The sequence below is a fragment of the Homo sapiens genome, chromosome 15, assembly GCF_000001405.40.
Source record: "Homo sapiens chromosome 15, GRCh38.p14 Primary Assembly".
In the NCBI taxonomy this organism is placed as follows: domain Eukaryota; kingdom Metazoa; phylum Chordata; class Mammalia; order Primates; family Hominidae; genus Homo; species Homo sapiens.
Window position 1 is genome coordinate 57585114 of NC_000015.10, and position 26395 is coordinate 57611508.

The following is a 26395-nucleotide window of genomic DNA, read 5'->3' on the forward strand; positions in this document are numbered from 1 at the left end:
GTGTTAGCGAGTCCCCAGGCAGCTTTGGTGTGCAGTCTGGCTTGGTGACCACTGGCAGAGCCACATTCCAGGGATAGGGAATTCCCTGCCTATGTGTGAGGTATCCCTGCCCATCATTTCCACCCTTCCCAATTTCTTTCCTTTATCCCTTCCCTTGGCTAGCTCTGGCTATTAAAGTTGTTCCTCACATTGTGGTTGAACTCCATCTCTCTGCAGCTTTTGCTTACTGGCCCCTGTCCTACACTTTGGGTTACACAGAAGGTCTAATCTCTCTGCCACAGTGAGTGACATTCAAGAAGGGAAGTCATTTAACATGTCTGCCAGCCTTTTCTTCTCTAGGGACAATATTCCCAGTTCTATCACTTGCATCTCCCATCATTCTTATACTCTCTGGGTCATGTTCTTCTGAAATCATTTGGGTGTTCCCTTTTCCTTCAAACCACAGCACCCAGACCTGAAGGCCACATTCTGGCATGCTTCGGCCAGCACCACAGAGTAGCTGCCTTCCTCTGAATCCCATATGAAATCAGATGAGATTTTCTAGGGCACAGAAGGGTGGGCTTCTGTGGAGCTACTGGCCATGCTGAGTTCCATAGGCATCTGTAGCACATGCTGCTGCTGAGCCGGGTCTGCCAAGTCCTGTCTTGTGCTCTTCTTGACCTTGGACTCAAGGTTAGGATCACAAATTTATTCCCGCCAGATTTCATCTTGTCAGATTCTGCTCCTGGCTCCAGCCTATTTGTTTTTTGGATCCTATCTCTTCCATCAGTAGATGAGTGTTCTCTCCCCTGATTCTTTGTCTGTATCCACATTGTTTTGTACCAGACTCTGTGGGCCATTCAGTGGTTTATTGTTATCATTGTCCCAGAGATTTTACTCTAAGCGGTGACATATTACATACCCACTGGTATCTACATTTATTTATTTATTGAGACAGGGCCTAACTCTGTTGCCCAGGCTGGAGTGCCATGTCATAATAATGGCTCACTGCAGCCTCAACCTCCTGGGCTCAAGCAATCCTCCCACCTTAGCCTCCTGAGTAGCTGGGACCACGGGTGCCTGTCACCATGCAAGACTAATTTTTTTATTTTTTGTAGAAACAGAGGTCTCACTATGTTGCCCAGGCTGGTTTGAACTCCTGGGCTCAAGTAATTAACCAGCCTCAACCCCTCAAAGTGCTGGGATTACACGTGAACCACTGCACTTGGCCAGTATCTACCTTTATATCTTGATTTGTTTACAGAAATAATATATAGCTATAGTGGACACAGTTGATACCCATGCATATCTCCTCAGCCACATTTCACCTGCTCTGTGTGTCCATTCCCTAGCTTTTGCATCCTTGGATGCTAATGGTCTGTGCCTGTGACTTTCAGAGGATTTTCCAAGGATATTCAGGTTCCTTGCCCCTGTGGAGTGCTGCAAATGCCGGAGAGTTCATGTACATTCCCCACCCTCCATCCCCATACCCAGGTAACCTTTAGCCAGTGACTGACTAGTATAGAGTACAAATGCCCTAGTTCTTTTGTCTTGAGGCAGAAGTAGCTGTGAGGTGCAATTTATACTTCAGAGCTGCCCATGGATCAGGCTGAATTTGAAACTTTACCTAAGGTTGCATCCTTGCTTGTTTCTTCCCCTCCCTGGGTCTCCCACTCCCTTCCTGGTTTCTCCTGGGAGCACCTCCCTAATGATCACCTACATAGGAGTCCTTGGCTCAGAATCTACTTCCGGGAGAGGGTGACCTAAAATGACAGTCATTGCATAAATAGACATATCAGATGTTCTGCTTGAATACGCACACAAAGCATTTCAGGACTTTTTATTTTTAAAAAAAAGAGCAAAAAAGAATTTCCCTTTTATAGATTGTCTATTTTTTTTTTGGTATAGATTTAAATACAGTTACTACTCATATTTTAATTTGTCCAAATGACAATTACTGACCGGTCACTAACTTTTGGGGTAAATTACTCAAGGAAGTACATGGGCTACAAAAAGAGATGCTTCTTGCCCCGTGCTTCTCAGGAAGGCCCCTAATTCTTTTCACGTGTCTCATCTGACTGATTCCTTCCTTTTTGTTATTACTGTTTTTTTGACATTGGGTGGAGTCTACTTCCTCTTAAAGACAGTCATCAGAGTATCTTCCTGAGAAAAGAAATACGTAAGGTTTCTGCCTTTGTATCAACATGTTTTCTCCAAGCTCACAGTAGTAGCTACTTGGAAAAGTAAGAGTGCTGCCTTCTTCTAGGTTTTGAGGTTTGTCTCACTGTGTTTAATCTCAGACTTGGGTGAAGTCCCAAGGCTGAGAAAGAAATCACTCATCCTTTATTTCATTCATTTTCTTAGCTGATTCCCCATCCCTCAGGATCTGTAGAGGTATTTGTCGACTATTCACTGGGGTGGCCTACAAAAATCCTCCAGCTTTTGGTTGGTCATGAAGTTCTGTGGATTTTCTGCCTTTTGAATCCATCCCCTCCTTTCTATTCCACTGCCACCGACTGCCCTAGTGCAGAGCCTCTTTACGTCATGGCCACACTTCCAGTGCACTCCAAAGTACTTGCCTTCCAGGCTCTGTCTGCCATCCTTACTCCTTTCTTTGCTGCCTGCCATCTTTCTTCATACAAATCTGATCATATCACTGCACTAATTGCAAAACTTTAAGAGCTCATAATCTGCTATTAAGTCTCAATTTTATTCAAGTCCATTTGCAATCTAACCCCACCCTACTTGTCTCTGGCCATTCCCTCCTGCCCTGAAGTTCAAGCAGAACTGGCTAACATGCATTTCCCACATCCCCCGACCCACTATTTCTTCCAGCTCCTCTGTCTGGAATGCGCTTACCTTTTCCTCCTCATTCTTCGTGTCCAACAACTCCTATGCCACCTTCCCAGGGAAGCCTTCACTGTTCTCTGCCCAAGCAGCTTCCCTCCTGCCTACCATAAGTGCTCTGGACACACCTCAAATCTGGCCCCTATCCCAGTAGAGGAGGTGAATTGTCAAGTATGCAGATGTTGGAGCCATCTTGCCTGGGGTTGAAGCTTAGCTTAACCACTTACTAGTGCTGGAACCAAGGGCAAGTTACTTAACCTCCCTGCCGCTCCATTTTCTCATCTGCAAAGTAAGGGACATAATACTACTTTCCTCACTGAGTTGCTGCGACAGTTAAATGTGTTGATGCATTTTAAGCTTTGTGAACTCAGTAAGTGCCATATAAAAGTGTTAGCTGTCATTTTATTTGCTAAGTGCACATCTCTCTTCCTGGTTTGATTGTGAACTCCTAGAAGACAGGGGCTGTCTTACTCACCTCAGTCCCCAGTGCTCAGTACACAGTAGGTGCTTGGTACATATTTGTTCCATGAATTGGCTTATTATTACTCTGCCAGTTGCCTGTTGGTTCACTGGGTTAACTGGCGAGACAACAGAATGATTTCCAATGAGCTTGTATTCCCCAGGGTGGATCAGCAAGTGGTTCCAGCCCTTGTGTCTAGACAGGCCTATAACTGCTGTGTATCTGGATGACTTGGCTGGGGTTTTGGGTTCCTTTCAGCCTGCCTTTCTTATCTCTAGGCCCCATTCCCTGTTTCTCGGACAACCTGTGAATATGGGGTGTTTCTTGTTCTACTTTATCCAAAGGGGCTTTGTAATGTATTACCCTTGTCCTTGGTTGGAAATGTGTCCTTTTTCTATTGTGAAAGTTTGGTCTGTTTGGCATGCAGAATGGGAGAATATGCCAGGACTTCGGGATGCTGTCGCAGCTGAATGGGAGAGAAAGAAAGAGAAGCTTCAGAGATATAAGAGTGAAGAGGGCATGAAATATCAGGAGGGCCAGAATTGCTTGGGTTCATCTACTGTGTGCTCTTGTCCAGTGATTTAACTCTTGATCATTTGTGCAAGAAATAATGAGTCATTGCTGCTCAGGACTTTGCTGGAGAAAAGGGTCCTATCATAAGCCTCTCAACTAAAGATGCCAATGGAATTTGGAAAGAGTTTAGCAGAAAGCAACAAAGACAATTCAGAAGCAGAGACCTAGAGGATATGAAAGATAATTCTAGGAACTGGGATGGGAGAAGGAGGTAAAATTCAGTAACTGATTACAAGAAAATGAAGGGTGCTTATACAGACATCTGGAATTTTCTACACACCTGTGCTTTAGCAGAGAAATTCAGGACTGCTCTTAGGCCTATGTGGCTATTTCTGTGGATAGAAAAGGATGACAGCTAAGACAGTTTTGTCATAGCTCCCGTTCTCTCCAGCCCAAACACTAGCAACCCCTTCATCACCAATGCTCAGAGGGTCTGGAGTAGATGAGTCATGTTGCAAGGGAATGTGGAGAACTTCTACACCAGACCCTTATCCCTGTTCCCCTCCCATTGGCCCTCTTCCCCACTCTCAGTTCTGTAGACTCCAGAGGACTGCTGACTGGGCAGAAGTTCTCAGCTTTTGATTCCTCTTTTGAAAAGAGTCCATCTTTTTTTAAAAATCATCTTCTCTCAGAAATATTAATGGAAACCAGTGACTGTGACTTCATTTTTTACTTTTTCCTCTCCACTCTAGATCCACTTTTCCATTGATTTCAGTCCTACTTGTCTTCCCATTTTCCTTCTTTCCCACTTTCTGGGCTCCCCACTCTCCTCTCTCTTGCAGTTCCTTATGACCTCAGATTCCTAGTGCTGGCCTATTAGGGAGGAGCTGTGGCATAAGCCAGGGCCTGGCATCTGCCTGGACACACCACCCACAGCCCTTGGCGATTGTCAGCCAGCTTTGGGGAAATGGCCTGGCTGGGACAACCCTGGGGCTCTTGTTGCTTCAGCTGCCAAATTGCTTGGAGTCCCTGGCCCACCCTAGGAGCTGGGTTGGCAAGGATCTTAGTTTCTGTTTTTCATGACCATGAGTGAGTTGAAATCTTACTCTGTAATAACATTTCTTCATTCTTTCCACATTTACTTGCACTACCACACGTCAATTACCTGCTCTAGATATTGGACAGGCAGAGATGTAAACAAGATCCAGCTTCTACACAGAGCTCACAAGCTAGTGAGCTGTCTGCTGCTTTTGTAAAGAAATATAACACCGTGTGAATAGGATGTTAACAATATGAAAAAGACTTGGGTAGATTAGAGGGCTTCGTGGAAGTGGAATGGGAAGGAACCTGTCATGAACAATTTTCTTTTTGGAAGGGATAGGTGGATGGGAGGATGCAGAGAGGAGTGTAGCAGAAAAGCAGAAGGACTTGGGTTAGAAGACTAGATGTGTAGTCTCAGCTGTTCACCAATTAACCTAATGTCTCTGGCCTCAGTTTCCTCATTTGCAAAACAGGGGCGATAACTGTAGCCCACCTTGTGGGGCATTGTGAGAATTGGTTGAGAAAATGCATATAAAGCACTTAGGACACAAGCACAGCTACTGTGAGGATGACGATGAGGATGGTGAAGAACAGGCTGTGCAACTTTGGGAAAGTCACTTGTATACACCGGCCTCAGTTTCCTCATCTACAAAAGGAGTGAGTTCCACAGGATCATCTGTAATTCTGTTTAGCAACATTTTTTTTTCAGCATCTTCCCTGTTGGTGCCATTGGGCATTCAGAGAGGGTCAAGGCCTGGCCTCTGCCCTCCAGAAGGACAGGGTACAGGCACACACATAGATAACTCTAACAGAAGACAGGGTCCCGCGGAGCTGCTAAGTTCCTGAGCATGCGTGTTTGGGGAAGGGGTTTCTGGAGAGCTCCGTGGGGAGGCAGTGCTTGACCTGGGCTTTGAAGACAGAGATTGTGTCTTTCCCTGCTGAAAAACACTTTGTCCTCAAGATAAAGGCCAAATTTCCAGCTAAGCACACAGGTTCCTCATGATGTCCTCAGCTCCCTTCCGCTGCTTCTCCACTGTTTTCCCACTGCACTGTGATACTTCCAATTCTTGAAACATATTTTATACCTTCCCTTGCTTTCCTTCCATCTTTGTGCATGCTAGTTCTTTTGACCTGGGACTCCCTCCTCCCTCTGTTAGGGGACAGCAGAGGGGACAAGCAAGGCACTAGGGTCGGACTGGGGGATTCATATCCTACCTTTGCCACTGAGAGGCCAGTGGGTCGCCTGCTGTGTTGCTCAATCCCTAGGTGAGTCAGCGTCTTCATCTGCAAAATGGGGATACAAGGTAACAACAGTGACTCCCTCAAAGGGCAATGGTGAGGATTAAATGAGGTAACACACGCAAAGTGCTCGCCAGGCAGGCCCACAGTAATCATTGAATAAATATGGGCAGTGTGGCCCACTCCTACTTGCATTTCAGGTCTTAGCTTAGTCATCACCTCCTCTGAGGTTGGCTGTGTGCTCCCTTAGTACATGGTATCTCCTCTTCTACCACAGCCCGGCACCTGTCATCCCCACCACACTGCAAACTCTCCGAGGCCAACAGCCAGTCGACTGGGTTGGCTGCTGGTGGGGACGCATAATAGGCATTCAGGAAATACTGAATGAATGACATGGGGTGAGGGTCCCAGTGATACGAGGGCGTGCAGAGGCTGTAGGGGGCAGTCCGGGGTGGGGGTAGGTCGTGAGACTGAATGGGCAGGTGGATCTCAACTCTGCGGGGGACAGAGAGAGCATGGGCGTCCAGGCTGTCCAGGGCTCCTTCTTGCCCTGGGACTGACCCTGGGAGGGCGCAGCGCCCTGGGAGAGGATGGTGCTCAACTTTAACCGGGTCGGCGCCCTCGGGAGAAAATGCAGCCTGACGGGTCGGGTGAGCGCGCTCGGCCCCGCCCCGGCCCGGCCCGGCCCCGCCCCCGGCCCCACCCCCGGGCCTTCGCGGTGCAGCTGAGGCTGCAAGTAGCCGGCGCCGTCCCGCGTCGCCCCCGCGCAGGGCGGGCCCCGCACGCTTATTCTGCCCGGGAGGAACGCCGGCGTCCAGCCCGCTACCGACCGCCGCTGCGGGATGCTGCGCTCCACGTCCACGGTCACCCTGCTCTCGGGCGGCGCCGCCAGGACGCCCGGGGCGCCCAGCAGGAGGGTGAGTAGCGGGGGCGGGAGCCGCCGCCGTCCCGTTCCCCCATCCCGGCCGCCCCCTCTAGAGGGGACTAGGGATGGGAAAGCTCGGGAGCCAGCACCTGGCCCCGACGCCCCACCCTGGGCTCAACTCCCCGGTCCTGTGCCGGCTCTGGCAGTGACCCTCCCGCTTGAGGTTTCAGGGGGCCCACCAGCTGGTAGGAGAGGGCTTAGGGGACTTTATGGAATTCCCAGAGATTTCCTCTCCTTCCTGCCTTTCTGTCAAGCCGAGTTTATTGGCGGCACCAGTTTAAAAATGAAGGAAGACATTTGTGCAGTGTCCCTACCTTGAGACTCAAAAGTAATGAATGTATTTAAAACTCAAACTTTCCTTCTTCCATTAATTAAAAGAAAGATGGGGTCACTTGTGTCCACTAGTGATAGGGTATCCACTAGTGATAGGGTAATTCTGGAGTGGGGTTAGCCAAGGTGGGCAAACCAGAACAGCAGCCGGCCGCCCAGGAGCCCGACTGTGTGGGACTCCGGTTTATGTAAACCACTTTCTTCTGTCTGATTTAAATATTAGCACAGTGACAACAATGGCAGCACTGAAAGCTTGGGACAGCATCTCCAGGGAAGGTTTCCCTTTGGAAGTGCTGTTTCTTTTTGATCTTTGTGGCATCTTTTCCCATCTCTCCAGATGCTCTGTAAAAGAAATGCTCCATCTTTCTAACACGGTCAGCACCTTAGAGCCACAGCCAGGGGCTTGGCTTGTGGCTTTTTAGTTCTTCCATTTATCATGATGTTCAATACTTATCATTTGGTACCTCTTTGCTCTGATTGAGACTTCTGTAATCGTGTTTCCTCAAGATTTAAACAGGTGGTTAAGTCCAAAGCAAAACCCCCACTGGTTCTGTCTGCGTGCAGGCTTGGACCTGCTTATTTGCTTTTACATGCCTTAAGCGAGTGATGGTGGTCACCTTATAAGCTGTCTTTCTTAGCTCTAGAAGAAAGGTGTGTTACTCTTGGGCATGGGCCAACTGATGGATTCTGGGGTGTGTGTGTGCGTGCACTCACCAGACACTTAGGTTGTGTACACAGGCGCACACACACACACACACACACACACACCCCAGAATCCATCAGTTGGCTCATGCCCAAGGTTGACAGAACTCCAGTTGTCCAATCATTAGCATCATAGAGTAAGATCTACATTGGGTCCAAGGGGGTTTCCAACCACAGTCCTGGCCTTACTCTAAGTTGGGTGTTTGTATTTTTCTATGGAAATCTTTCTCAATTTGAACACAATTGCAACTGAGAAAGAATGAAGTCACTGAAAAGCTAACCCTGAGCCCTGAGAGGATCATATGTGTGACCAGACTGCATGAATTGCATGAAATTCTCTGTAACTTCCCTTCCAGAGGTGGGGATTAGTTGGGGTACCTAACCTAATACGGTGGGTTGATACAAATGTGACTAGTATACAAATAACATTTCTGAAGATTTTGGGTCAAACGTTTCCTTTGGAATATTTATTTAATTATAGGTGCTTTGCTGTCGGACACATTGTGACACTCTTGAAAAGACTTTGCCTTTTGAATAAGATGGCAGACGTATTTTGGACTGGAGAACTCAGGGCTCGGGATCAGGCCATTCAGGGCTGTCCTGGGTACACTGGTACTTGTTTCTGGAAGGAAGGTATCTAAAGGGTCTAGGGTTCTGCCCATCTTTATGGTTTCTAGCTCTGCTCATGATTTGCAGATGTTACAAGTACTATCTGTGTGTGTGCTGGGGATTGTGTGTGTGGTGGGAAGCTGTGAGATGTTGATTAATTGATTTATTGAACATTCATAAACCTTTCTCTGTGTGGTAAAGGGCTGGCATTGGGGTCCGCCCTACCTGTAGAGGCAGACATTTTCCCAAACTAACATCAAACAAAGTGGTGATGGTTATAGTGGGGTGAAGAGTTTACAAAGTTCTGTAGAAGCTAAAATAAAGGTTCTTCCTGAGGCATCAGGGGAAGGCCTCTCACTAAAGGTATGTTTTTTTGAGATGGAGTCTCACTTTGTCATCCAGGCTGGAGTGCCATGGCACGATCTCGGCTCACTGCAGCCTCCACCTCCCAGGTTCAAGCAGTCCTCCTGCCTCAGCCTTCCGAGTAGCTGGGACTACAGGCGCACACCACCATGCTTGGCTAATTTTTGTATTTTTAGTGGAGACAGGGTTTTGTCATCTTGGCCAGCCTGGTCTTGAACTCCTGACCTCAAGTGATACAACTGCCTCGGCCTCCCAAAGTGCTGGGATTATAGGCATGAGCCACCCAGCCCCGCCTACTGGTGATGTTTGAGTTTAATCTTGCAGGATGAGTAGAATTTGTAGGGGAATTGACATTATTGGGATACTGAAAGGAGGAAATAACCATCTCAATGGAATACTTGGCATATATAATCATGTACTGCATAACCACATTTTGGTCAACAGTAGCCAGGATATATGACGGTGGTTGGAATGGTAGGCTATCTCATATCGCCTAGGTGTGTGGTAGGCTATACCATCTAGGTTTGTGTAAGTGCACTCTATGATGATTACGCAACGACAAAAATCATCAAATGATGCATTTCTCAGAGTGCATCTCCACGGTTAAGTGACACATGACTACTTTATCATGATGGCAAATTGGACCTGCTTTGGGACAAAATACCTATTGTTTAGAAAAGCAGGAACGGGATGTCCTGAAAGTAAAATTGTAGACCAAATAATCATTGGAAGTGTACCTTTCATTGAAAGTTGTTCAGCAAATACTGTATTGTTCTGTTATTCCTCTCTGATGATGGACAAGTGATGGTCTTGAACATGTTATCCATTAAAATTGTATTTCTGGTTCATCCAAAGAGCTCATCAAATTGGGTACTGCAGGGGAAACCAGCCTATGTGGGTCCAGATATTCAAGCCAACCAGAAGTGGTGGTGACAGCTGACACTGAGCAGGGACTCCTGCGAGCCAGCTGCCAAGGGTTATGTGGCTGGCTGGACTGCCACCAGTTAGCCTTTGTTCAATGGCTGCCACCTGCAATTTGTATTTCCTTCTTATCTGAAATCACCTCTCAAGGAAAAAAAAACCAACAGGTGGAGAGAGTAATTTCTGTCAGCTGATAAACAAAGCTCTGAAAGGCATTTATGGATGCCAACCAGCAGAAGTTGTGAAATTAAAAAAACTTCCTTCAAACCAGTTGTGCACTAAAAATAGTTTTATCTATGGCAACAGCAGGAAGACAAATTGACTGGAGAATAACCACAGCCAGAAGATGACCTTGGGGAATGGGGGGAAACGATTTTAAAAATATTGACCTTGCTTCATGCTTTTGAAAGGAATTTTATAAATGCCAGTTAGTCTTGCTAAATGGGCCTTTGAAATGGAAGGTTGGTTGTGTGGCTGGGTCGTGTGCTTTGCGGGGAAGGCATGTGTTGCTTTATGGCTTCCCCACAAAGCACACAACCGGGTCACACAACTGACCTTTCGGCACAATACTTACTGCCGAGTATTTTTGGCTAAGCTGTTCTGATCCTGGGCTGTGGAATGATAGATCTGTCAAGGATCTTCTCCAGCACCTTGCTCTCTTGATAATAAAAGACTGTTGGCTGGTGTTGCTGCTATCGTGACCCGTCACTGGCACAGAGAAAAAACAAAACCCAACAAGGTCACAGGATAGGACTATCTCCTAGCCTGCCCTTGCTGATATTTCTTTCTATTTGGCAAAGGCTTCCTCTGTTAAACACTGGAATGGGCCTGCTAGTCATTGTTCCTTGGCTAATGTGTCCCTCTCCCATGTCCCATTGCTGCCTGACTGGGCTAAGTTGTGAGGGTTTGGAACCAAGGCGTCCTCTGGGCTAAGGGCAGGGCTTAAACCTGTGCCGGTCAAAAATGATGGTTGTAGGCTCAGAAAAAGAGGTGCCCAGCTCTATGCTTTTGATCTTTCACATTGCCTTGTTTGATAGAGGATGAACAGACCTGAATTCTGGAGACTCGTAAGGAAACTTGATTTCCCCTAGACATTTATGGAGATCCCATGGCTTTTCTACAAAGGATATGGAATGTGATTTTGACCCATTTGTCTCTGGGGGCACTGATGGAGTGCTGCGTATGAGGTCCCTGTTGTAGTTTACCTATGCTGTGCATCCATATCTGAACAAGAGACCTGGAGGCTGGTGTCACTAAGCCCTGGTCACTGGGGAAGGCTTTGAAGTCAATTAGCCTCAAATGTTCTTGTCTAATTGAGTTCAAGGAGCTGTGGGCCCAGGGCTGACTAACTAGAGACCATGTTAAATATTTCAACCCAAGATACTTCTCAGCACTCATCATGCCTTATGGTCTTACGGAATTCCAGTACTTCTCCAGCACACAGAAGAGCAATACAGTGGTGTTTACCTCTTTCCCTCTTTGGTGAGTGATAGTTCCTAAGTGTCAACCACACTCCTGGCTCTTTTTCACTCTTAAAGGCCGGGGTGATCTTTCTAAAATGCTAAATCTAGTCTCCTGACTCGTCTGCTTCAAGAGCCTCCTCAGTACTGCCAGGAAAAAGTTCACACTCCTTAGTGTAGCATCCAGGCCCTCTGGTTTGGCCCGTGCCTGTGCTGTTTCCCCTCCCTATATGTGGTCTTCTCAGATATTCCAAATCGTTTGCCATTTCCCCGAGCTTTCGATGCCGTTCCTTGCCTCTTTGCTTTTCTTCATGTTTCTCCTCTGATGAGTGTTGTCTCCTCTAGGAAGCCTGCCCTGAAACCTCAACCCTCCTTCTCGTGTTCCCCTAGAGGCCTGTGCATGCCACCATTACTTGCGTCACCTGTGATTACCTACTGGAAGACAGGGCTTAGGAACCACCCCTCCCCAGGCCTGGTGGAATAGGCAGTTAAAAACAGAAATCTCACCAGGTCCTACGTAGAGGAGCCACAGTTAACATTGAATTGGCAAATGGAAAAACAGGAAGAGAAGCCTTGGGTTAAATCCATCCCATCACTTCTGACCCACCTGGGCAGGAAACGGGTGACAAATACATGGGAATGCTGGCCCAGGTGAGGAGGTTGACAGTTCTGGGAAGTCCTCCAAATATTCGAGTTGCCTCATCCTGCTGCACAGTTGGAGCTTCATCCCTTTGGTTCAGTCAGTGGTTCTCAACCAGTTATACACAGAATCACTGGGAGGCTTAAAATAGCCATGTCGAGGCCTCATCCCAAACCAATTAAATGGGAACATCTTAAAGTACAGAAAAGCATGAGTATTTTTTAGGAAGCTTCCCAGGCGATTCTAATGTGCAGCAAGGCTAACAATATTTCTTTAAGCATTACTCCCTTCTATAGCTTTCTTGGAAATGCAGACACTCCTGGGACAGTGTTGCAGAAAGGTCCCTTGAGCCTTGTGGGATGAAGGGCAGGGTGGTGATGGGGCAGGGAGGGGGAGTCCTCGCACTCCAAGTCACACTGGCATCTTTGTGTGCCTTCATCCACCTGTGTTTTCTCTCTGGATCTTGGCGTTTGGGGCACATTGTGTGCCTAGTACAGAACACAGCCACAGAAAGCAGGAATGTTTTGTATGCCTCTGAGCTAAGAATGGTTTTCACAGGGGCCTGCAAAACCTAAATATTTACTGTCTGGCTCTCTACAGAAAAAGTTCGCCCCACCCTGATGTAGATAATTGGGCTGCAAGTTCAGGGCCACAGCAGAGCCAAGAGGTCTAATCTAGATGGGGCATACACTGTTCCGCATGCAGCCTGCTGCAGGCTCCTGGGATTTGATCCTTGTGCTGAGCAGAGAGTGTGGGGTCTGTTCCCCCTAGCCACACTTACAAGGGCCCCACCTTTTATCATTAAGGGGAGCTGGGCAGGGACCCACAGTCACAAAGTGGAACAGGCCTGAGAGAAATGTAAATGCACTTGGCTAATTTCCTTAGGGAAATCCATCTTTGTAAACTGGCAAACCCCTGTCACCTCCCTGAATCATCTTCTCCACTCCCTTTTTATTTGAGATAGATATTTTTCCCCTGGGTGAGCCAAGGTGCCTGAAGTTGAGAGCATGATGTTACTGGATCCGCAGAGTACCCCGTAGGTGAGACCCAGGCCCTCATCTCCACAAAAGGGTCAGAAACAAGGCCTGAGGGGACCCATGTAGCTCCCCAGGGGCCCTGAGTTGCCAAAAAGGGTTTTGTTGTGCTTTTTCTTGTGGAGGAAACCTGAATGCTACCTGTCCCTCCCTTGCTATCCTTCCCAGGGGGGTTGGTTTCAAGAAAGTGCAAGGCACTCCAGGGAGTTTCAGGTATATTCTTACTTTGTTTTAGTTCAACCTAGAAAAAACTACAAAACCCAACACTGAGCGAGCGCCCATCATGTGTTGATACTATGCTAAGCACCGTAGGGGCTATATTAAGTGGTGACGGTACAAAGCTTACTTGATCACTCCCCCTATGTTTTCCCTTCCGTCCATTGTGTGGTGCATGGAACACTGGAGGCACTGAAAAATGACCAGTTGGATTATTGAAATGAACTCAGATTTGAATGTTAGTCTCTTCCTCCAAAGATTTGAATGACTCCTCATTGTCTTCTGACTAGAGCCAGTGCTTCTCTATCATGCATTTGTAGATTGATAGTTCAGCCCCTATCTGTTTGTCCATTTGCCTGTCCTACCCAGGCTTAGGCTGCAGGTTCTTATTCTTGGAACTTGCCGACATCTGTGTGTTTGGCACAGACTAGAACGCCTTGCCTGATAGCTGTCTGCTGTTGTTATGATGGTGGGTTCTCCAAACCTCACTGACCTGTAAAGTCCTTTCTGTCCTTCTATACCCAGCTTAAATTGTATCCCGAGGGTCCTTCCTGAGGGACTTTCCCATATATTCCCACCTCCCATTAAGATTAGTGTTCTTCTTCCTATATTCCCATGATAATAAAGAATGTTTACAGAGTGCTTAATGCGTGCCAGAAATTGTCCTAAGCTCTTTACACACATTAGCTAATTTAATCCTCACAACATTCCTAAGAGGGTATAGTATTGTTAGTTCTTTTTACAACTAGGGTAATGGAAGCACTGAAGACTAAGTGGCTTTCCAAAGGTCTCAAAGCTAGTAGGTGTCAGAACCAATACTGGAAGCCAGGAAGTACATTTCCACTATGATTTAACCACAAAGCTATCCTGTCTCTCTACACCTTGTATTGGTTATTCCAAGTGTTCTTGATTGCCTTGTTTGGGTATATTTCTAGATTATGTACTCCTTGGAGGCCAGCATTTTTTTTTTTTTTTGCCATCGTCGTACCCTCATAGTCCCTAAAAATATTTCACAAGTAATAGGTGCTCAGTAACTGAGTAATAAAGTATGCTGAGTCCAGCTTCCTGCTTTGATCTCCTGGAAGGAACCCTTGCCCCCAGGGACAGCTGGTTCGGTAGCAGTGGTGTTCAGGGTAGGATGCAGTTCTTCGCATTGTGCATAACACAAGCCCTGAACCAGCTGCTTTGGGAACCCCTGGGAATAAAGTGCCCTACCTGCCTTTCAGGCACTGCCAAGCCTGGGGCATCTCTGGAGATTGTGTATCCGAGTTTCAGGAGACCATGGAGATCAGCCTCGTAAAATGCTCGGAGGTAAGGAATGCTGCCTTGATGTTACTCGGGGAGATTTTCCCATGGGGAGATTGCGGAAGGTGAATGAATGGAGGGAGGTAGACTGTACTCGGACAACTTTATGGGTGGTTCAGGGGTTACTGTCCTTAGTGCTTCTGTTAGGGATTCAGAGTACCTTTTAGACCTTTAGAATGTCCCCCTTGCTGCTCCTGAAGCAGTCCTGTGGAAGGATTAGTCTCTTTCTGGATCTGTCTCTTCCCGACATATTTTCTCCCAGTCTTTGTTATTACTATAACTACTATTATTATTTTAATCAAAACCTTACATATCTTAACATCGTTGCCACCAACACAGAAATCTGTTTCCTTAAGAATATCTTCCGCCTACATCTACACAAGTTATCAGGGTATATTTAAAAAATTAAAATGGGATTATTCTTAATGTTTTGTTCTGCAACTTTCTTTCTTCCCCATGGCCATACATTTGGCTATCTTGTAAGGAAGATGTGTGATTCTGTTCTAAGCTGGGTTTAAATTGCTCCTGAACAGCCAGTCCATCAGTGGGTCAGTGTTTATTAAAGAAAAACTAGCTTTGCTCCTTAATGTTTTGATCAAAGCACCTCTGTTGACAAGAGTAAACTTCAGACAGGGTGCTGCAGTAGCCTCAAGCGCCTGCTGCAACTGCCAAATGTCTTTGAGGTCATATGTTTTATTTTACAAGTTCATTTTATTTTATGCATTCTGTTTACCTTGTGGCTTTGTATACCTCAGGGTATTGCTCAGTGTGAGAGCTTCATATAAGGGTTGCCCAGCTCATCATAGGAAGTGTGTTGAGGAATATAGATGGGCAGATGAAGAATGGGCTCAAGCCAGGGGAGGGACCATCTAACTTTTGAGTGATTGGACCCATGGGACCCCCTTTCTGAAAATTATGACCATTAAGGATTACCCCTCTAAAATAATCAACCAACCGAAAGTCATCACTTACAGTGTTAATGTCTCTGATTCATTGACCAAATTGTTATTTTCATGGAAACAGGACTGTGAGGCTAAGCAGGTCTGTTTCATTTTGAAGCATATAGGATGATGATAATATCTAGATAATAGTAAAAATATCTGGCTGGGTGCAGTGGCTCATGCCTGAAATCCCAACACATTTGGAGGCTGAGACAGGATTGCTTGAGCCCAGGTGTCTAAGACCCATGTGGGCAACATAGTAAGACTCTGTGTCTACAAAAAATAAAAAATTAGCCAGGCATGGTGATGCATGCCTGTGGTCCCAGCTATTTAGGGGCCTGAGGTCGGAGAATCACTTGAGCCCAGGAGATTGAGGCTGCAGTGCTATGATTACACCACTGCACTCCAGCCTGGGCGACAGAGCAAGACCCAGTCTCAAAATAAATAAATAATCAAATAAAAATAAAAATATCTAATATTCATAGAGGCTTACTATGTGACACTCTCCCTTTATCCCATTTTACCCTTGAGATTCAGAGAGATTAAGTAACTTTCCCGTAGACACACAGCTAGTAGATGTTGGAGCCTGTGTATGTGTGTATGTGTGATAGGCATATATGTACGTGTGTGCACACTTGTGTGTGTGTGTGTGTGTGTGTGTGATGTGGTGCAGGAGAAAAGGACTTCCTTTTCCCTGCAGAATTATGCATGGACTAGACCCAGCCTAATAGGAGATTGTTGAGCACCACAGGTTTGGATTGTCTCTGTGGTCTGAGTTACACTTTGATGCTTGTGCAAATGTCAGACTGGTTTCAACCAGTCTGAGGGGCCTGGAGCCAGAGAGTTGCCTTTCTCTGGAGGGACTCAAGATTCCCTACTCAAGATCAGTGTTGTTGCCCACCAGGAAAGAGAGCTACCTGGTAGTATGGCTTGGTTTCTTTTTGGCCAACATGACTGACGGTGAGCTTTGAAGGTTGCTTGTAAAGTTGGCCCCACAAGAGGCAATGATAGCCCTGGGGGTCAGGCCACATCTGATTCCGGGGTCCCTGGGGGATGATGCTTGCCAAGAGGAGGATGAGGATGGAGAGGGATCTTGAAACCAAGTCATGTGATTTAAAGAACTGGGGTTGTTTCGTCCAGAAGAAAGGAAGTTCAAGGGACAGGAGGACTGCCTAGAAAAAGGGGAATTAGTTTGCAGTCCGAGGACAACCCTGGGTCCATTAGGTAGAAATTCTGGTGTAAGCTCAGATCAGCAAGTTAGAGGTGCCTGGTAGCAAAATGCAATGCCTTGGAGGGTGGCAATGGTGTACGTGGAAGTGCTAACATGGGTCCCAAACCTGGGCTCCCTAACCTGTTCATGGAAAATGAACAGGTTGGTGCCACCTGTCAGGTACATTTTTGGGTGTTGGGTTTCTTCAAAGGTGGGCAGGTTGAACTCAAGAGATTTTTGACATTCCCTCTAGCCCTGGGCTTCTAGGCTGCAGGGTGGTTTTGCTAAGAGGCCACCCTGTGGACCAGTGCAGATCTGTGAACCTGCCAACCAGACTGGGACGGGGGTGGAGAGGATTTGTTTGCTAGGGCTGCCATGAAAACTACCACAACGCCATTGGCTTAAACAACAGAAATTTCTTGTCTCACAGTTCTGGAGGTTAGTGGCCCAAAATTAAGGTGTTGGCAAGGTTGGTTTCTTCTGAGGTCTGTGAAGGAACTCTCTGTTCCAGGCCCTTCTCCTTGGCTGTTGATGGGTCGTCTTAATGTTTATATGATGATCGCCCTGTATGTGTGTCTCTCCCCAAATTTCCCACTCTTATAAGGACACCAGTCATTTTGATTTAGGGCCACACTTATGATCTCATTTTTACTTGATTACCTCTGTAAAGACCCTTTCTTCAAATAAGGTCACATTCTGAGATGCCAGGAAGGCGGTCAGGACTTCAATGGATGAATTTTAGAGGGATGCAATTCAACCCATATTAGGGAGCCAACAGCACTCCCGCGAACTGAGCCCACATGGCATTTCAGGCATGTGATGGGGACCATGAGTATAAGAGCTAAGAAAGTAAGCCCCGGAGACTGCCTGGGTTCAAATCTCAGCTCTGTCATTTCCCAGCCATGTAACCCTTCAGAGGCTTAGCTTCCTCATCTGAAAAATGGGGCAGGTAAGAGAATCTCTTACCATAGGTTTGTGGTGAGGCTTAAATGAATAAATACCTGTAAAACACTTAGAAGATGCCTATACATGGTTAGCTATTACTATTATTACTGTTATTGTCCCCTCGTACTACAGATTATAGTAGTCCATTTTTCCCTCTGTTGAGTAGGAAAATGACTTTGCCCCTAAGTCACCCTTCGTCAACAGAATATGATAAATCACACAAATTGTAGCTTCTCTCACTGAGTGGTATAATGCTTTTTTATTTTTAACAGAAATGGTGCAATTTAGACTTTAAAAAATCATTTAGGAACCTTTATCCGATATTTCAGTGAAATTTTTTGGCAGCCTTTAATAAACTGACGTGAGAATCTCAGTGACTAGTGACAAATATTCATGGTGACATAGCTAATTAAGGAGTCAGATGTCTTACCAAAACTCATAAGCATTATATTTTCTTCTCCTAAGCCTTTCCAGCTAACTGTCTTACTTTTAGTCTGTATCCAACAAGCAGGGACAGCTTTTTTTTTTAAATTGTAGCAATGTACTTGTGAGATTTACCATTTTGACCCTTTTTAAGTGTATAGTTCAGTGGCATTAAGTGCATCCACACTGTTGTGCAACTGGCACCACCATCTATCTCGAGGATTTTTTTCATCTTCCCAAGCTGGGATTCCATGCCCATTAAATACTAACTTTCCCTGTATCCTTACCCCCTGGTCACCACAGTTCCACTTTCTGTCTCTATGATTTTGATTACTCCTGGTACCTCATCTAAGTAGAATCATACAGTATTTGTCTTTTTGCCACTGGCTTATTTCACTTAGCATAGTGTCTTCAAGGTTTATCCATGTTGTAGCATGTGTCAGAATTTCCTTCCTTTTTAATATTGGGTAATATTCCATTGTATGTATAAATAATATTTTGTTTATCCATTCATCTGTCAATGGACATTTGGGTTGCTTCCACCTTTTGGCTATTGTGGATAATGCTGCTATGAACATGGGTATATGGACTTTTTTGAAAAAAAGTTGTGATTAAACATGTACATGTATATTGTAGAAAAATTAAATATATAGGCAAGTAGAAAGCACCCTCCCTTCCCAATAGAGATATCCACTGTGTATATTTTGGCTTCTTTCCCTGTAACTATATTTTTGCCTATACTTGTGAAATGAGATCATTCTATACATATTCTTATGGAAACTGAGCCATTGGTAAAGAAATGTTTGAAATAGATCAAGTGATTTGGTAGTTTCCTTCCTTGAGCCCCAGGGTGGTGGGTGCCTGTGCTGTACCAGGCTGGCCTGGTACTGTGAAGGTAAGGCTGGCCTTATCTCCTCTATGGCTCCTGTATGATCAGGACAGTGTTCCCCAATGGAAGTAGGGGAAATGGGCTGTGAGAAGCCCAAGGTCATCTGGCTCTTTCTGCCCCAAATGCTGACTCCTAACTGGCCTCTCCTTTCCCTCTCTTCTAGGCAAATGTTTGCAGACTACGGCTGACCGTACCTCCTGAGAGTCCAGTTCCTGAGCAATGTGAAAAGAAGATTGAGAGAAAAGAGCAGGTAAGGTATCTCCGAGGCAAAGCCCCAACAAGTTCCAGCCTCTATACCCTTAACCCACTCTCCCATCTCCTAACCAGGCCATTCCCAGAGGCTGGGTGTCTGCACCTCTGTTGAGGAGAAGGCCCTCTCAACCTTCCCACCTCATCTCCCGTCTTCCCAGAAGACAGAGAGCTCTCCCTAGCCGGCTCTGCCACCGACGTGCCCTGCTCTTGTTTCTTGGTGAACACTATGGCTTTGTGTTACCTTGAAGCTGCAGGGACACTGGTCTTAGTGACAGGTGCTGTGGCGGGGAACGTGGGTTTTCCTGAAACAGCCCAATCCAGTTGCTTCAAAGGGCCTATTGTGAGCAGCTGGCGGGGCTGGAACCTTTCTCAGCAGCTTGGAGCAGCAGCCGGGGGCTCTGCTCCCGCAGAAGAGAGGAAAGGCTGGCAGGCAGGCTGGTGCAGGGAAAGGGCACTTTCTTGGCTGGGGGTAGGAGGCATTCGGCAAACATTTTTGTGACAGCTCCTGTGCTAAGTGCTGAGGCCGTGAAGATAAGTATGTCCTTGCCTTGGGGGAATTTGCAGTTTTCTGGGTGAGACGATGATGTGATATTTCAGGTGTTAAGATCCAGCCCTATATGACGGAATCTGGGAACACAGAGAAGGGAATAACTGACTGCTTGGGAGGTGACAGTGAAGTTGGAGGCTTGAAGGATAAAGAGGAGGTCCTGCTGACCTCTAGGCCTGTGGTCCTGGCCGACCCATTTTACTCATTCATAATTATGGGGCACCTACTGTATTCCAGGCACTGTTGTATACAGTGGGAATATAGTAGGGAACAAAGCAGTAAACCAAATCTGTCATCCATGGAACTTATATTCTAGTGGGACAAGAATGGAAGTAAACAAAATAATTAAGTACATTTTATAGAGGTTAGGAGGTGGTAAGTGCTGATGGAGACAAAGTAAAAGAAGGGGTAGGGGTGCCAGGAAGTAGGCAGTACTTTTTCTTGAGCATGTATTTTATATGATTATAAAGTAAAACAAAATAAAATGATATAAATTTCATAAATGGAGTCATAACATAGTGACCTCTTGAAATACAAGCTTGCTTTAGAGTTAACCACTAATGTGGTCAACTATAAAAAAGAAAGCTTCTCATCGATGGCTAAGTGTTTGATAATGTCCCTAAGTTTACCATAGGTCTCTGTCTCTCCTTGCCCTCTCCTCCCCACTTTCTACCAAGGACAGAGAGCTGCCTGTGCTGATGCAAATGATGAATGCCAGGGAAAGGAAGTAGGGAGAAAAGCAAATGAAGTTCTGACTAGAGAAAGGTGAGGAGTAAAATTGCTGATCTGCCTAAAAAGAGTGGATGAGTTCCACTAAAAAGATCCAGAAAAACAGCTAGTTCTGGGTTGCAGAAGGGAAAAGATGAGGGGGATATGGGACCTCTGGAAAATAAGGTTTCACTCAGAGATGAATGGGGTCCTAGTAAAGGACCTAGCAGCCAGTTTGAATGGGCTTTCACTGGCCAAAATGGGAACAGCTGGAGCATCAAAAAGAATAATGACAGTCATGGCTTATAACACATCGAATATTAAAAAAAATCCATACGTTTGTAGTGATAATTGGAGAAGGGGAGTAGAGGCACGAGATCAGAGGATAAAATAGGGAAGGCTCCCTTTTTTTTATAGAACACTAGCTAATAAGTTTAGAAAATCTTTGTTTTGTAACCTCCAGGTATACTCATCAATAGATGCAAAAATAAGTTGGTGAAAGATTATTGTAGGATATTCTCAAAGTATCACCCCAGCGGATTACTGATTCTAAAGGGACAGTACCTTCACAGTGGAGTAGGCAGGCAGCCAGCATTTCAACCAAGTGATCCAACCTAACTTCACCAATAGTGGAACGAGCTGATGTTACATGACTTCTGAGGTGATTCACCTAAGAGGTGCACATCACATATGTAATATTCATGCCAAACTTGTTTAACTGAATCTAATAATAAGGAAACAGAAAACCAAAATGTGGGACATTCTGCAAAACAATTGGCCTGAATCCTTCAATAAATTCAATGTTATTTTTAAAAAAGATGAGAATTTGTTGCAGATAAGAGACTAAAGAGACATAACATTAAATGTAATGAGTGAACCTGGATTAGATGGTGGCAAAAAAAATTATATAAAAGATAGAGCACATGGACGCAGGAAGGGGAACGTCACACTCTGGGGGACTATTGTGGGATGGGGGGAGGGGGGAGGGATAGCATTAGGAGATATACCTAATGCTAAATGACGAATTAATGGGTGCAGCGCACCAGCATGGCACATGTATACATATGTAACTAACCTGCACATTGTGCACATGTACCCTAAAACTTAAAGTATAATAATAATAAAATAAAATAAAAGATATACTGGGATGACTATACAATTTTGTATATGAACTATATATTACATATTATTGAATAAATGTTAATTTTCTTGTGATGATGGTACTATGGTTATGTAGTTGAGTGGCTCTTTCAGCTTCTGTGTAGCTTTGAACATTCTCCACAGACAAAGTTTGGGAGTAAAAGTCCTAAGCAGAGAGTGGAAGTGGTCAGGCTTCAGCTGCTACACCCCTGCTGATGAGCAGGATTGAGTGGGGCCATCTGTCACTAGGGAGTGTCCCCTTCTGTCCTCACTGCTCCTCTCCCTGCCTGTCCCTTTTAGAGCTAATGGCTTGGTCCAAGACATGGGTCTGGGCTGTGTCCAGGTGCTCAGAGCTGCTTAGAACACTTTTTGAAGAAGTGGCCTAAGCTGGAGTGAGGGACAGGACAAGGGCCTGGTGGCAGTACCTGTTGGTACAGACGGTAGAGGAATTGGGGAATATAGTCTTTTGGAGTTAGACCCAAGCTTCATGCCTTGGGAGATGTTCGTGAAAGGTTTCTGAGTGCCAAAACTGGGGTGGTAGGGGCTGGAGGACCCTGGAGGGTCTGTAACCACTGAAGAAGAATCAAGTAATCCCAAGGAAGGAGCCTCGTGTGTTTAGCTGTGTCAACTGGAGTCAACAAATTGTGTGTCAGTTTGCCTATTTGGCTTGAATAGTGCTTTTCAAACTTGTCAATAGGACCCTCTTTTTTAAAAAAAAATCAGAATGTTTTACTGAGCCCTCATATGCAAACCAAGCAAAAGTGGTACTAACGGGGGCCCAAGTCCTCCCAGTCTCCCTTTACCCCTCAGCCCCCAGACACCCTCCTGTGGTTGCTTGAGAACTCCAAGGCCCTGAGGAGCACAGGACAGGCACTGCTGGGATAGCATATGCACCAGGATACTTCTTACACCAGGTGGACCAGGCGTGCAGTCTAAGTGCCTATGTGTGGCACATTGGTGACTCACTGCAGAAGAACTGGGGTAGAGGGGAGGAGGGTGGGGCTGTTGTTTCCCTAGGGATGAAGTCCTTGGGTGGTGGCAGCCCTTGAAGTTTCTAGGGGTAACTGGGAGGCTGCTCTGAGTGATTTCGTCACCATGTCCTGGCCAGGTTCCTGGCATGAGTCACTGAGGGCCAGGGCCATGCACTGTCGGGGAGACTCTGTAGGGGCCACTTCCTTGGATGTGGTTTCAACATGGCTTCCCCTCCTTGGAACCCATGGAATTGCAAGAGGCCAAAACTCTGGATGACCCTCCCTGGTCACGTAACTTTGGTTCCTTTGAAGGGGCTTCTTCTGTGTGCAAAGGCCAGGGGATTGGAGCTGGCTCAGATATGTGAGTAGAAAGTTGTAAATGGCCCGATTGACTTCTGTTGCAGTGAGACTTCTCAAGGATTTCCAGGGCCCTGTTAGAGCCGCACATGATGAGGGCAGCCTGGGCCTTCCTTAGTCTTTCACACTGTTCTGGGAGGTGTTTAATATTGCGGGGATGCCACGATGCCATGGGACAGCTGGCCATGCATAGAGGCTGCTGCCAGTTGGGCCATTCTTCCGTTTGCTGTTCTCCAGTTATTGGAGAAAGGAATTGCTCCCAATGTGGGTGTGTTGTGGATGGCGTATTTTGCCCATTTCCACAAAGGTGTGTTTGGAGGCTGCTGGATGCAATTACAACAGAGTCAGCACCTTCTTATGGAGTCAAGGGTTTGTGGGGTGTATTTGGAGGTTTCCTATCCCTAAGGCAGATGCCCTGGCTGCCTGTTCCTTTTAGTCCTTCAGGAGACATCAACTGCCCCGACACTGCTTTATGCTGACCACAGATGAGCTCCCAAATGCACAGCTTCCTCATCTTTAAAGTAGACACAACAATGCCTGGTTTCAAATTGTAAATAAGCTAATATATGCAAAATGCCCACCACAGTGTCCGGTTTATAATATGGATTAAAGAGGTAATGACTAAACACTGAATCTCTTCCCTTTGAATGCCAAAGCCAGTGGCCCTGGGTCTTTGTTTTTACCCCCTTAGACCTTCTGGAGTTATTCTCCTGCCTGAAGCTGCCTGTCTTTATTTTCCAAACACATAGCATCTCTTCCTTCCTCATAACCCTTGCTGAGGCCCTAGCCATGCTTGGAGTCCCTTCACTGCCATGTCTCAGTTTATCTAAGTCTTCCCTGTCCTTGAAGGCTCAGCTAAAGGCCCACTTCCTTTCTGATAACTTCCCAGACTTCTATGTGCTGGGGTGGTCACTCTTCCCTTAACCTACAGGACACCCAGGCTGCCCCTTTCACTTGGCACCTAGCCACGTGCTGCTAAGAACTCCACATAGGTATAGATATATATTTTTGCAAAATTTGTATATAACATGTATGTAGGCACATACACACACACAGAGAAATGAGGTTGAGTCTTTTTATTCTCTCTTCCCAAAGCCTAGGTGGCTGCCTTGCACATAGTAGGTGCTTAATGAATGCTTATTGATTATGATGATTGAGTTTTATATTAGCTTCCTAGGGCTGCCACAGCAAAGCATGAAAAACGAGATGGCTTCAATAACCGAAAGTATTCTGTCACGGTTCTGGAGTTCATATGTCTGGGATCAAGGTGCTGGTGGTGCCTCCTCTGAAGGCTCCAGGGGGAGAATTTTTCTTTGCCGCTTCCAGCTGCTGGTAGCTCTTGGTAATCCTTGCCTTGTGGCAGCATCGCTCTGATTTTCACATGGCATTTTCATGTGTCTGTGTCCAGATTTTCCCCTTTTTATAGGGACACCAATAGGGCCCAGTCTGATGGCTTTCTCTTAACTTGACCTGCTCTCCATATAATTCCTAGGTACTGGAGGTTAGGACTCCAGCATATCTTTTTGGGGGACACTCTTCAACCCATAACAGGTTCTTTGAGGAAATCACCTTGAATTATAGTAACAACTCAGATGAATTAGCTGTGGGCTTTTATTTGAATATTGAACATTAAAAATCATTAATAATATGGGAGGGAGGATGCTGATTAGTTTGTGGGCACAAATTACATGTTGAGAAATTGATAAATGTAGAATATAATGTTTATAAACAGGCTGAACATTCAAATTAAAATTGGTAATAGTTTTGAAATTAAGTACCTGTTGTTTTCAAAGAACTCTCTGAATTTATGTATCCATATTCTTATCCATAGTCATGTGCAACAGATTCCTATGTGTATATGCAGGGACACACACACACAGACAGAACCCACACCAGCTATTGCAGACTTAGCATATTGAATCAGGGCCTCACTGCACAGTTGAATTTTAGGGCATCTGATCTGAGTTGATTCTGCGTCTTTATGATGGTAAAGTCCTTTGCAAATAGATAAAATAGCTTGAGGCAGATACCGTTTTAAATAGCTATTAACATCCCAGCTTTGGAGGTGTCCTTCAGTGACCTGTTGTTTTTAAAGAAGCTGTTTTCTCTCTAGATCTTTGAGAATGCTGAGTGAGAGAGAGAGCAGATGCGTGGGTATGGATGTAGAGTTGGGAACTTTCATAACCCAATAAAATGTTGAAAAGGAGGAAGTCCTTGCCAGTAGGTTTTATAGTCCTCTTTCCTTTAAAAGCCTTGGATGAATAAGCCTGCTGAGTTCTCGTCCTTGGCGTGACTGTTTATACAACCTCGCGGGCTGTTGCCAAGTGAGCGAGTGTGCTGCCATGATTCAGAGCTTCAGGTGGGGGCCGGGCTGCCCTTTGTGACAGCACACCAGGGACTCTGCGTGCCCCTCAGAGATAACAGCCCCTGGAGGATGGGGAGAGACCTAGAGTTTGAGTCCCGGCTTCCTCATGAACCCCTGTGGTGGTTGGGCCAGTCAGGTCATCTCTAGGGGTCTTTGCTGCTTCTTCTAGCAAATAGAAATGTTAGTCTAGAGCCAGTGTTTTTCCAAACATTCCTTTATTCACGTTGATAAATGTGGAAGTTCTATTGGTAAAGCAGTCAAGGTGCAGCGGGTGGAGCTGAAATAAGATCAGGGCTATGTTGGCTGCCTCCATCAGGCCCCCAACTCTTCACCCTACAACCTTGTCAGACACGGAGGAGGAGCTGGGAATAGTGTCTGAAAACCCACTGGACTATACAACTCTTTTCCATTTTTCTAACCTTCTGAGACTTTGTGATTCACTACCCATGAAGAGAAACCAAGGCCACTTTGGGGGTGAATATTTCGCTGTCAGAGCCACTTTGACAACTGTAATGAGAACAGCAAAAAGACCAAGAAGAAGGTGGACGGACAGACAGACTCATTCAGATAGACATGTAGAGTTGAGTAGGAACCCATATACTCAAAAATGTAAAGAAACCACACCACCAATACTAGAAACTCCCAGTATCTACTAGTATGCTATTAGCACACTAGGTGTTTTGTGTGTTTTATTCTGTGTATTCTTTAGACTGCCCACTGAAATTGGTGGTATGATCCCCATTTTAGTGTTAAGGACCCTGAAGCTCTTTAAAGTACAGAAAATAACTTTCTTAGGGGCACACAGCTAGTAGATAGTGGATTTGCAATTCCAACTCAGGTCTGTGACGGGCCATGTTGCCATGGGAACATTGACTTGCGTGCCTTCTCCTATCAGAGAAACTCTGTTTAGGATATTTACATTTTATCAGTCAAGGTTACCGAAGGTGTGTACTATACCCCTGGGTTCCAGAAAAGCAGTTCCTGATTTTTTTTTCTCCCGTGTATTCTTCCCTTTTCCGCGGGGGTTATTAGGCCTAAGCAACTATTGTCTGCGTTGAAGCTG

General features: G+C 45.8%; 2 protein-coding genes across 10 annotated transcripts in view, besides 2 other annotated features; both read left to right on the forward strand.

The window, feature by feature from the left end:
• Positions 6680–6789: a silencer, noted in NCBI's record as "silent region_6473". NCBI's record gives its function as "represses an Ori minimal core promoter by ATAC-STARR-seq in GM12878 lymphoblastoid cells {active_cell/tissue: GM12878}" and the evidence as "EXISTENCE:reporter gene assay evidence [ECO:0000049][PMID:35858748]".
• Positions 6791–26395, forward strand: part of GCOM1 (GCOM1, MYZAP-POLR2M combined locus) — a 125654-nt gene continuing 106049 nt past the window's right edge. For all 8 annotated transcript variants that reach the window (NR_104367.2, NR_104368.2, NR_104369.2 and 5 more), the window contains exons 1-2: positions 6791–6996; positions 19156–19242. Coding sequence is in view for 3 of the 8 variants with exons in the window: in NM_001285900.3 (NP_001272829.1) it covers positions 6922–6996; positions 19156–19242 (162 nt within the window). In the remaining 5 variants the exon portion in view is untranslated. The remainder of the gene's footprint in view (positions 6997–19155; positions 19243–26395) is intronic.
• MYZAP (myocardial zonula adherens protein) overlaps positions 6791–26395 on the forward strand; it is a 93461-nt gene continuing 73856 nt past the window's right edge. For both annotated transcript variants that reach the window (NM_001018100.5, NM_152451.8), the window contains exons 1-2: positions 6791–6996; positions 19156–19242. In NM_001018100.5, the coding sequence (NP_001018110.1) occupies positions 6922–6996; positions 19156–19242 (162 nt within the window). In that variant the 5' untranslated portion in view covers positions 6791–6921. The remainder of the gene's footprint in view (positions 6997–19155; positions 19243–26395) is intronic.
• Positions 18983–19557: an enhancer, noted in NCBI's record as "H3K27ac-H3K4me1 hESC enhancer chr15:57896294-57896868 (GRCh37/hg19 assembly coordinates)". NCBI's record gives its function as "activates a minimal SCP1, AML or CMV promoter by ChIP-STARR-seq in primed H9 embryonic stem cells {active_cell/tissue: H9 hESC(primed)}" and the evidence as "EXISTENCE:reporter gene assay evidence [ECO:0000049][PMID:30033119]".